The sequence below is a fragment of the Homo sapiens genome, chromosome 2, assembly GCF_000001405.40.
Source record: "Homo sapiens chromosome 2, GRCh38.p14 Primary Assembly".
NCBI classification, from domain to species: Eukaryota; Metazoa; Chordata; class Mammalia; order Primates; family Hominidae; genus Homo; species Homo sapiens.
This window is the reverse complement of record NC_000002.12, coordinates 55,024,614-55,036,946: the sequence shown is the minus strand read 5'-3', so window position 1 is coordinate 55,036,946 and position 12,333 is coordinate 55,024,614. Positions and strand designations below refer to the sequence as shown.

The following is a 12,333-nucleotide window of genomic DNA, read 5'->3' as shown; positions in this document are numbered from 1 at the left end:
ATAGTTTTACTTTTCTCTTCAGATCTTTACGAGAAGCCTGGTAGATTGCTTGTTTAACACAGAATCTTGAGTGAATGCATTAGTCTTTCACCTTTAAGTATGATGTTAGCTGCATATTTTTCCTAGATATCCTGACTCTTAGGTTGAGAAAGCTTCCTTCTATTCCTAGTTTGCTGATAGTTTTTATGATAACAGGTGTTGAAATTTGTCAGATAAGTTTTTGACATTTGTTGAGATGATCATATGGTTTTTCCTTTTCGGGCTGTTGTTACTATAGTGAATTTCATTATATGATTTAAAAAAACTTTTTAAATTTTTTTAATTTTTTTTTTTTTTTTTTTTTTTTTGAGACAGTCTTGCTCTGTTGCCTGGGCTGGAGTGCAGTGGCACGATATTGGCTCACTGCAACCTCTGCCTCCTGGTTTCAAGCGTTTCTTGTGCCTCAGCCTCCTGAGTAGCTGGGACTACAGGTGCACGCCACCACACCTGGGTGATTTTTGTATTTTTAGTAGAGACAGGGTCTTACCATGTTGGCCAGGCTGGTCTCAAACTCTTGGCCTCAAGTGATCTGCCCACCTCAGCCTCCCAAAGTGCTGGGATTACAGGCATGAGCCACTGCGTGCGACCTATTGTTTGATTTTGAATGTTAAACCAACCTCACCTTCCTGGAATTAAACCCCATTTGGTGATGATTATACTTTCTATGAGTTGCTGGATTCAATCTGCTACTATTTTATTGAAGATTTTTTGCATGTGTGGTTATGAGGAATATTGTTATATAAATTAATTTTAATTTTCGTGTTATATCCTTGTCTGGTTTTGGTATTAATGCATAAATCTATAAAAATTTTATGGGAAGTGTTTGCTTTTCCTTTATATGCTCAAAGAGTTTGTGTAAGGTTGGTACTATTCATTAGATGTTTTATATTAGTTTTCTTCGTGGGGGTTTTAAGTTACAAGTATAGTCACATAGGACTATTCTGATTTTTGATTTCTGCTTGTGTCAGTTTTGGTGATTTGTGTCTTTCAAGGAATGCATCTATTTCATTTTGATGACTGGGTATAAAGAAACTTGTCTTTCATTTTGATAAGTAGACATCAAGGAAGTTGTCTACTCATCTAAGTTGTCTAATTTATTGTCATAAATGTGTGCATAATATTCTCTTACGTTTTTAGGACCTACAGTAACAGTCCCTCTTTTATTTTCAATACTTGCTTCCTCTCTCTGTCTCTCAGTCTCTGTCTTGATCATTTTAGTTGATTATCAATTCTGTTGATCTTTTCAGGGAAGCAACTTTTTGTTTCATTGATTTTTTTTTTTAATCTGTTTTCTATCATTGGTTTCTGCTCTTTACTACTTATTTTCTTTTACTTGTTTGGATTTAACTTGCTCTTTTAAAGTGGAAGCTTTACACTTCGATTTTAAGCCTTTTTTCTAAAAGCATTTAAAAGCTATACATTTCTCTCTAAGCATTACTTTGCTGCATCCCACACATTTTCATGATCATTTGATTCAGAATTTCTTTAATTTTCCCCCTATTTTCTTTGATTCATGGATTATTTAGAATTCTGTAGTTTCGTTTTTAAACATTTGAGGATATTTTAGGTGATTTAATTCATTGTAGAACATAGACTGCATGATTTCACTTGTTTTAGATTGAGATTGTTTTGTAGCCCAGGAAATGTTTTATCTTGGTGAATGTTCCATATGTACTTGAGAAGAATGTGTATTATATTGTTGGTTGTAGTGTTCCATAAAAGTCAGTTTAGCTCATTGGTAGTGGGGCCTAAATCATCTGTATCCTAACTGATAGTGTGTGGTTGTGTGTCTTTGTTTTTTCTTTGTCCCATCTGCTTTTTGGGTTCTTTGATTTTCTTCTTTTGTTTCTTCTTCTGGATTAATCAAGGATTTTATAATATTCAGATTTATCTCCTCTGTTGGGGTTTTAGCTGTACCTCTTTATTTTTTAAGAGGCTGTTCTAGGGATTACAGAATGCATTCTCAATTTATCATAAAATAGCAAGAATATTATACCACCTTACATGTTTCACATGTAATAAAACATACTTTCATATACTATTTTCATCCTTTGTGCTTTTATTGTCATAAGTTTTGCTTCTAAATGTATTATAGTTATTGTATTTTGTGATAATTTGTGCTTCAGAAAGTTATTCTTTGAAGAAACTAAGAAATGAGAAAAATTAACATCTACCTGTATATTCAACATCTACATATATATTTACCATTTTTGCCATTCTTTATTCCTACATAAAGATCAAAGTTTACATCTCATATCATTTTCTCTCAGTCTGAAGAACTTGATTTAACATTTCTTGTATTGTAGGTGTCTTAGTGACAAATTCTTTCAGCTTCTGTTTTCAGCTTTTATCTGAAGATACCTTTATTAATCTTTACTTTTTCTATATATTTTGTTTGTTCGTTTAGAGATAAGGTCTTACTCTGTTGCCCAGGCTGGAGTCCAGTGGCCTGATCATAACCCACTGCAGCCTCAAACTCCTGGGCTCAAGTGATCCTCCCACCTCAGCCTCCCAAGTAGGTGGGACTATAGGCACACGCTACCGTGCCTGGCTAATGTTTTAATTTTTTTGGAGAGTTGGGGTCTCACTTTGTTGCCTGGGCTGGTCTCGTACCCCAGGGCTCAAGCAATCCTCCTACCCCAGCCTCCTACGGTCCTGAGATTACAGGTGTGAGCCACCATGCCTGGTTATTTAAAAAAATATGTTTTGAATAATACAGCCAATTCTGTTTTTTTAAGCTGTCACTATGTTCTGTATAGCCACCAAAAACAGGGAATTAGCAAATACTGAATCATTGTTCTTAGGGGAAATACAGACTTGGCTCCTGTAAGCCTCTTGTCATAATATTTTTGTTAACCAATCAGTATATTACCTTGTTTTATGTGTTTTTCTATTTAAAGCCACCTGGGGTACAAAAATACAGTTGGATAGAAGGAATAAGTTCTAGTATTTGATAGTACAGTAGAGAAATTATAGTTAATGATTTATTCTATATTTCAGAATAGCTAGAAGAATTGTAATGTTTCTAACACAAAGAAAAGAAAAATGTTTGAGGTGATATATAACCCAGTCACTCTGACTTGATCATTACACATTGCATATAGGTATCAAAATATCATATGTACTACCAAAATATAAAACAACTGTTATATATCAATTAAAAAATAAAGACATCTTATTTAATATGTATTATTGATTCATTAACATTGAACTCATGGCCAAGAACACTATAATTTATGCCTGAAGGAAGATTATCTAACATATGTTTTCTCTGTAAGGCACATCATAGCCTTCTTGTGGTTAAAAACACTCGATACCATGTCAGCGCTGTGCTTAAGGGCCATATGAAACAGGGAAGTCAGTGGCAGAGCTGAAACAAGAAGGCGGTAGGGTTACCTTGTTCCATCTCAGCTGGGAACTTGTACTTTGGATGACCCGCTCTGGTTTGCCTGCTCTGCTCATTGCATGTCCTGAAAGTGCTGCAAGTATGGATTTTGGGGCTACAAATTTAGTGAGCAGGTAAATGAGCAAATAAGGAATCCATGAATAATGAGGATCATCTGTATATAATTTTAGATTGTCAGTTTTTTCATAACTTTAAAGGCGTTCATTACCTTTTGGATTACATCAATGAGAGGTGAGGTCATTCTTATTGTTGTTTACCTGCTTTTTTCCTCTGACTGTTTTTAGGGTTGTCTCTATCTTTGATTTTCAGTTTGACCCTTATGGTGTGCCTTTTTGTGGTGTTGTGTTTATTCTGCTTGGAGTACATTGAGCTTTGTGGCTCTGTTGGTTGGTATTTTCAAAATGCCAACTTCTGTCCAATTTTAGGCCATTTTTTCTTTTTTTTTTTTTTTAACTTCTTCAGTCTTTTTTAAAGAGACAGGGTCTTAACTGTGTTGTCCAGGGTGGAGTGCAGTGGCGTGATCATGGCTTGTTACAGCCTCAAACTCCTGGGCTTGAGTGATCCTCCCATCTCAGCCTCCTGAGTTGCTAGAACTGCACGTGTGCACCACTACACCGGCTAATTTTTAAGTTTTTTGTAGAGATAGGGTCTCACTGTGTTGTCCAAACTGGTGTCCCAACTCCTGGCCTCAAGTGGTCCTCCCACTTTGGCCTCCTAAAGTGTTGGGGTTACAGGCATGAGCTCCCATGCCTGGCCACTGTTGCTTTTTTTAAGGGGACTGCAATTATAGGTATTTTAACTCCTTGATTGTCTCTCAGCACTGAGGCTCTGTTCCTTTTTTCACTTGCCCTTTTCCCTTGTTGTGTTTCAGTTTGGATACTTTCTGTTGTTGTTTTTTAAGTTTGTTTATCAATAAATCTTTTTTTCTGTATTGTCTAATCTGCCTTTAAGCTCATCTAGTGATTATTTTCAGTTAATATAATTTACAATTCTAGCATCTCCATTTGGTCCTTTAGTCTATATTTCTCCACCAAGATTCCCTGTCTACTCTATATGTCTGTCTTTTTCTGTACTTAATATCTTAATAGCTATTTTAATTTTCATTTTAATATTTGCTAATCCAGGCCAGGTGTGTTAGTTCACACTTGTAATTCCAGCACTTTGGGAAGCTGAGGCTGGCGGATCACTTGAGGTCAGGAGTTTGAGACCAGCTTGGCCAACGTAGTGAACCCCGTCTCTACTAAAAACACAAAAATTAGCTTGGTGTGATGGCAGACACCTGTAATCCCAGCTACTCAGAGGCTGAGGTGGGATAATTGCTTGAACCTGGGAGGTGGAGGTTGCAGTGAGCCAAGATAGCCCCGCTGTACTCCAGCCTGGGTGACAGAGCAAGACTCCGCCTCAAAAAAAAAAAAGTGCGAATCCAACGTCTACGTTATTTGTTTGTTTATATTTGCTATTCTTTCTTATTTATGGTCATATTTTCTTGCTGCTTTGCATGTCCATTAATTTATTTTATACTGCATGTCATGGATTTGGTGGTTTTAACTTTGTTCTGGCAGGCAGTTAATTTGCTGGAAAATCATTTTGATCCTTTCAAGTTTTGATTTTAAAGTTAGGGTGGGTCTAGAGGTAGGGGTCTGCAGACTTACAGGGCCAGTTAGAGTAAATAGTTTAGGCTTGTGGGCCATACAGCCTTTGTCTAAACTGTTCGTCTCTGTTTTTATTGTGCAAAAGTAGTTATAGACAGCACAGAAGTGAATGGGCGTGGCTGTGTTCCAATACAATATGGGCTCATGAGCCATGGTTTGCTGACTCTTGGTCTAGAGTATCCTTTAGGCTTAGAGTAGTCCTGCTTGAGGTGTTTAGAGAGATCTTTCCTTTCTGACTGGTCAGAATTTTTAGATCAGGTCTTCAGCACTTTCTGACCTTCGATATAATCCAGTTAATTTGCAGCTCTACCATAGGTTTCTTGGCTAGGCCTTGCCGAGTCTTGTGCTGTGCACATGCAGCGTAGTATTCACCCAGAGGTTTAAGAGGAACCCCTATCCAGATTTTTGGAGCTCCTTTTCTGTGAGGCTTTACTTTGTATGTTACCCTGTCTCACAAATTCCAGACAACTCCTCAGCCTCCTCAGCTTAGCAAGAGTGCGGTATTCTTAGGCTTCTCTCTGTACTGTAGACCAGAATGTGCCTTCAGACAGAAAGCAGCGTAGTCATCTTGCAGGTTTCCCTTTTCTCAGGATTCACACTGCTGTCCTGCCTCTTGTCCAGTGTCTCAAGATAGTTGCTTCTAGTATTTTGCCCATATTTTTAGTTGCTTATATTGGAAGAATTAGTCTGTTGTAATTACTCTCATAGCCAGAAGCAGAAGTTCTATGGTTTTAAAATGCAGGTTTTTTGTAGTATTGTAATTAGATATGATTTAAATGCCTCTTTTCTCGTATGTGAAATGGGGGTAACAGTAGTACCTACCTTACAGGGTAGTTTTGAGAACAGAATGAACATCTGAAACAAATGTGCCGGCTCAGCACAGTACCTGTCCCACATTAATGTTTCTATAAATGTTGTTACATTGTAAAATAGAAGCAATTGATCAATGCAATATTTCTGCTAATTACAAGGTATTTACTGGGTGACGATTTACCTTGTTTCAGGAGAACTAACTTGAGGGGCTGATACAGTAAGAAGGATTGCACCAGTTGCACTTGTACATAAATACATCCTTCAGAAGATGAAGCACATCTCGTGCTTTGAGGAAGCCTAGCCAAAAAATAATAATAATTATAAAGCACAAAGACTTGGGAATTAGATGTTTTGACCCTCTGGCCTCCTAGTTCTGTGACTTAGGGCAAGTTGTTTCTTCTTTTTTCTTTCCCTCTCCCTCCTTCACAACATTTTTAGGTGGGTACTCTTATTATCCTTATTTTACAAGTTTCATTAGGCACAGAAAGGCTAAGAGTTACAGTTGTAAGTGATGGATTTGTGATTTGGACTTAGGCAATTCAATTTCATGATCTGTGATTGCTTTATTAGGAGTCTGAACTGTATTCTTGAAGTCCCAGAAGATAGTTAACTATTCTGGATTTTTTTAAAGAGCTTTTAGAAATGTAGTACTTGTTTTATGGGTAACTGGATCGAATCCCATTTTACAAAATGAAGATTTTTCTTTTTTTCTTAAACATAATGAATCTTTGAAATACCAATTTGAAAACTTTTTTACTTAGAAAAATTCCAGGAATATAGTTTTTATTATAAAAGATTATTGCACTAGGTAGGAATAAGAGTACAGTACATTAAAAAAATACTTTAAAATTATGGCACAAATTTAGATGTAGTTTGTTTTCCCACTAACTTTAACAGTAATATATGTTTCTAGTTCACTTTCCAGATAGACTAGCCTCTGAATTAGTGGCTTTTAACTATATTGTCTAGATAAAAAAGACAACCATTTTGTTAAGAATTGGTTAACTGTTATTTAGATGGAGCAGCTGCGTAATTATTTGGTTCTGCTCTTTGACCCTCAAATTTCAGTTTTATACAAGCTAATAATTCATTATTTTAGCTGAAGGGAACTTTCCTTCATTTTACAAATGAGAAACTGTAATTTAAGATCACATAGCAAGTAATCTTTTAAATATGTGTACACATATATATGCACTTTATTTAAAAATCTTATAAGCCATTATGTTACCCCTTTGACTGGATAGCCCATCCTACCTAGTGCTCTAGGTTGGAGGAAACCCTTTTAAACACACATCATAAATTTCCCGTCATCACCCTCATCTAGGAATCCTTTAAGTATGACTTCATGCCCAGTATATATTTATCTAAAATATATAAGACCTTGTGAAGTTAGCTCTCCTAATTCATTAAGGGTAATATGCTTGGAAGACAAGTCCGTATTCATGTTAGCTACATTTCTTGGATTTTTATCTGTTTTGATCAGCCTTGTCTAGCTTGTCCATCCAGATGAAATTGTCTAAATTTATTAGGTTCTCTCTGTTAAAGGAATATCACCTTCCAGTCATCTCTCAGGCTGTTTCAAATTGTCTGATGGTAGAGGCCTTTCTCTAGTGTAAACCATGGAAGATCTTTAGCTTAGGATCTCCCAACTGCAGGTACAAGATGACATTGTACAAAGTTAATATTACCAATATAGAGTGTATTAGTTAGCTTGGGCTGCCGTAACAAAATACCATAGGCTGGGTGGCTGAACAGAAATTTACTTCTCACAATTCTGGAGGCTGGTAAGTCTAAGATCAAGGTGCTGGCAAGGTAGATTTCTTTTTGAGGCCTCTTCTCCTGGCTTATAGGTGACCACCATCTCACTGTGTGCACACATGACCTCTTGTGTGTGCCTGGGGAGACAGGGAGCATGACAGCAAGCTCTCTGGTGTCTCTTCTTGTAAGGGCATTAATCCCCTTGGCCCAGGGCCCCACCCTGACTGCATTTAACCCTAATCACCTCCCAAAGTCCCCATCTTCAGATACTATCACTTTAGGGGTTGGGGCTTTAACATGAGTTTTGTAGGAAATATAAGCATTCAGTTCTGTAACATACAGTGATTAAGGAAATGGGCTCTGGAATTGAATTGCCTTAGTCTCTCACTTACTAGTTGTGTATACAAATAACAAGTAGCCCTCACTTAGGTTAATTTTAAGCAAAACCAATAATGGTGTCATCCTAAAGGCAGTTAATTTTTTTTTTTTTTGTATTTTGGACTCTGGCATTTGGACATTGGCACAGGACTAATGTCTTCAAAGAGCAATGTACAATGACTGTAACAACTTAGAATGTAAGAGAAAATGCATAATTCTTTAAAAGTGTTTCTTTAAATTGAATATATGCCAATAACAAAAGATTAAACATTTGTAGTTGTTAATTGTATTCAAATTCAGCTTTTTGTTTTTGGCCTGAATAGAACAAGACAATTTACCTATGTGAAAACCTGAGTGAAAGCTTGGGATGTGATATGTTAAGTAGAACAGTATTTTAAAGCCACTTTGATTCATAAGTTTCTTTAACATAAACAGGTTGTATTGCCTCTTGAAAAATGATAGGTTCTATGGATAACATTTAATTAGCTTTATAATACATATGATGATTTAACCTGAATTAATGGTACTACTTTTTCTGACTTCCTTTTGATCTTGGCCCTTTCTCTGTAAAGTTTTTTGTTAACTTATTACAAACTGAACCCTGGCTTGCTCCTCTTATCTTTAGTCTCCTTTCAATCTGTCTTTATTTCTGCTGAGGTTATATTCTATTTGTTTTTCAGATGAGACCCTTTTTGCTCTTCCTGCTGCATCTGAGCCTGTGATACGCTCCTCTGCAGGCAAGTTCTTTCTGCCAGCCTTTTATCCTCTCTGTATTCTAACTTTAACTCTTTAGTGTGTTAACACTATGCAGAGTAGTTTGGGTTTACTAAAAATTAGCATGGTTCCGAGAATGTTTTGTCTACTGGAAAAGTTGAAATGTGCATTTTATATGGTATGCCCAAGGGAAAAATGAGCAAAATCTGATGAATACTTGGAAGTACATAAGGAATTCTTGGACCCTTGAATTACATTTACATATTTACCATTCCCTTTCTCCAAATACAGTTTGAGTATAGCCAGAAAGGCTTTCCTGTAAATAAATACCAGTCTATGGCATTTACCCAGTGCCCCTTCTTTCCTATGCTGTCACCGAAACTCTTTTCACAGATATTCTTCTCTTCTCTAAAACTAGCTATTAGTATCTTAGTTGATAACATTTGAGGTTTACTCAGACTTGATTTGTCTTTGCACAGCATGTAATTGCCTCTGTAGCCATGCATATGTTATATTTACAATAGCTTAATATTTTCAGTAATGATTGAAGTCTACTCTATTGTTACTTATTAATTGCTATTAACATTTCATTTTAGTAAACAGTAAGTCTTTACTAACACTATTTTGGATCTGTCATAAAACTTGCATTAACTCTGAGAACACTGGCATTCTCTAACTTTCCTTTCTGTCCATGGTCACAGAAAATATGGACTTGAAGGAGCAGCCAGGTAACACTATTTCGGCTGGTCAAGAGGATTTCCCATCTGTCCTGCTTGAAACTGCTGCTTCTCTTCCTTCTCTGTCTCCTCTCTCAGCCGCTTCTTTCAAAGAACATGAATACCTTGGTAATTTGTCAACAGTATTACCCACTGAAGGAACACTTCAAGAAAATGTCAGTGAAGCTTCTAAAGAGGTCTCAGAGAAGGCAAAAACTCTACTCATAGATAGAGATTTAACAGAGTTTTCAGAATTAGAATACTCAGAAATGGGATCATCGTTCAGTGTCTCTCCAAAAGCAGAATCTGCCGTAATAGTAGCAAATCCTAGGGAAGAAATAATCGTGAAAAATAAAGATGAAGAAGAGAAGTTAGTTAGTAATAACATCCTTCATAATCAACAAGAGTTACCTACAGCTCTTACTAAATTGGTTAAAGAGGATGAAGTTGTGTCTTCAGAAAAAGCAAAAGACAGTTTTAATGAAAAGAGAGTTGCAGTGGAAGCTCCTATGAGGGAGGAATATGCAGACTTCAAACCATTTGAGCGAGTATGGGAAGTGAAAGATAGTAAGGAAGATAGTGATATGTTGGCTGCTGGAGGTAAAATCGAGAGCAACTTGGAAAGTAAAGTGGATAAAAAATGTTTTGCAGATAGCCTTGAGCAAACTAATCACGAAAAAGATAGTGAGAGTAGTAATGATGATACTTCTTTCCCCAGTACGCCAGAAGGTATAAAGGATCGTTCAGGAGCATATATCACATGTGCTCCCTTTAACCCAGCAGCAACTGAGAGCATTGCAACAAACATTTTTCCTTTGTTAGGAGATCCTACTTCAGAAAATAAGACCGATGAAAAAAAAATAGAAGAAAAGAAGGCCCAAATAGTAACAGAGAAGAATACTAGCACCAAAACATCAAACCCTTTTCTTGTAGCAGCACAGGATTCTGAGACAGATTATGTCACAACAGATAATTTAACAAAGGTGACTGAGGAAGTCGTGGCAAACATGCCTGAAGGCCTGACTCCAGATTTAGTACAGGAAGCATGTGAAAGTGAATTGAATGAAGTTACTGGTACAAAGATTGCTTATGAAACAAAAATGGACTTGGTTCAAACATCAGAAGTTATGCAAGAGTCACTCTATCCTGCAGCACAGCTTTGCCCATCATTTGAAGAGTCAGAAGCTACTCCTTCACCAGTTTTGCCTGACATTGTTATGGAAGCACCATTGAATTCTGCAGTTCCTAGTGCTGGTGCTTCCGTGATACAGCCCAGCTCATCACCATTAGAAGCTTCTTCAGTTAATTATGAAAGCATAAAACATGAGCCTGAAAACCCCCCACCATATGAAGAGGCCATGAGTGTATCACTAAAAAAAGTATCAGGAATAAAGGAAGAAATTAAAGAGCCTGAAAATATTAATGCAGCTCTTCAAGAAACAGAAGCTCCTTATATATCTATTGCATGTGATTTAATTAAAGAAACAAAGCTTTCTGCTGAACCAGCTCCGGATTTCTCTGATTATTCAGAAATGGCAAAAGTTGAACAGCCAGTGCCTGATCATTCTGAGCTAGTTGAAGATTCCTCACCTGATTCTGAACCAGTTGACTTATTTAGTGATGATTCAATACCTGACGTTCCACAAAAACAAGATGAAACTGTGATGCTTGTGAAAGAAAGTCTCACTGAGACTTCATTTGAGTCAATGATAGAATATGAAAATAAGGAAAAACTCAGTGCTTTGCCACCTGAGGGAGGAAAGCCATATTTGGAATCTTTTAAGCTCAGTTTAGATAACACAAAAGATACCCTGTTACCTGATGAAGTTTCAACATTGAGCAAAAAGGAGAAAATTCCTTTGCAGATGGAGGAGCTCAGTACTGCAGTTTATTCAAATGATGACTTATTTATTTCTAAGGAAGCACAGATAAGAGAAACTGAAACGTTTTCAGATTCATCTCCAATTGAAATTATAGATGAGTTCCCTACATTGATCAGTTCTAAAACTGATTCATTTTCTAAATTAGCCAGGGAATATACTGACCTAGAAGTATCCCACAAAAGTGAAATTGCTAATGCCCCGGATGGAGCTGGGTCATTGCCTTGCACAGAATTGCCCCATGACCTTTCTTTGAAGAACATACAACCCAAAGTTGAAGAGAAAATCAGTTTCTCAGATGACTTTTCTAAAAATGGGTCTGCTACATCAAAGGTGCTCTTATTGCCTCCAGATGTTTCTGCTTTGGCCACTCAAGCAGAGATAGAGAGCATAGTTAAACCCAAAGTTCTTGTGAAAGAAGCTGAGAAAAAACTTCCTTCCGATACAGAAAAAGAGGACAGATCACCATCTGCTATATTTTCAGCAGAGCTGAGTAAAACTTCAGGTAATCCAATCTATATGCAGTTTTGTGCTTTCATGCCACTTTTGGATTTAGGGAACATTCCACTACATTTTGTGTTTTATATTATGTTTATAGTGTCTCATATGTCACATTGGTAAGAAGTCTTCTCCACTTTTTCAGTTAAAGGTTTTAGTGCTTTTTCTAACTCTCTTGCACTCAGCATTCACCCTTAACTTTTCCACACAGTTACACTTTTATATTGCACTATGGAACTATTAATAGAAAATATTTTTGTTTATAAGAATTGGCTTTAGTACCTATTTCTTTCTTTCTTTCTTTTTTCACTTGTGTTTCTTGATAACATGAAGAGCAAGAGATATTAAAATATTTTCAGATGTGTTTTTGTTATCCCAGAAATTACCATATTTAATTTTTAAAGAAAATTTCTATAGTATGTTTTAAATATTTCTATATAATATAGTACTTTTCCAGTGGTAGGTATAAAGTTAGGCAT

The 12,333-nt window shown here is 36.5% G+C and overlaps 1 protein-coding gene across 12 annotated transcripts in view, besides 1 other annotated feature; it reads left to right on the top strand.

Annotated features, from left to right (window-relative positions):
• Positions 1–12,333, top strand: part of RTN4 (reticulon 4) — a 165,643-nt gene that overhangs the window by 100,885 nt on the left and 52,425 nt on the right. For 8 of the 12 annotated variants that reach the window (NM_001321904.2, NM_001321859.2, NM_001321860.1 and 5 more), the window contains 2 exons: positions 8,727–8,783; positions 9,462–11,861. The exons of 3 other annotated variants lie outside the window; for them this stretch is intronic. In NM_001321904.2, coding sequence (NP_001308833.1) covers positions 9,467–11,861 — 2,395 coding nt within the window. In that variant the 5' untranslated portion in view covers positions 8,727–8,783; positions 9,462–9,466. The remainder of the gene's footprint in view (positions 1–8,726; positions 8,784–9,461; positions 11,862–12,333) is intronic. One more of the 12 variants, NM_207520.2, reaches the window with a different exon arrangement.
• Positions 3,253–3,302: an enhancer, noted in NCBI's record as "active region_15772". NCBI's record gives its function as "activates an Ori minimal core promoter by ATAC-STARR-seq in GM12878 lymphoblastoid cells {active_cell/tissue: GM12878}" and the evidence as "EXISTENCE:reporter gene assay evidence [ECO:0000049][PMID:35858748]".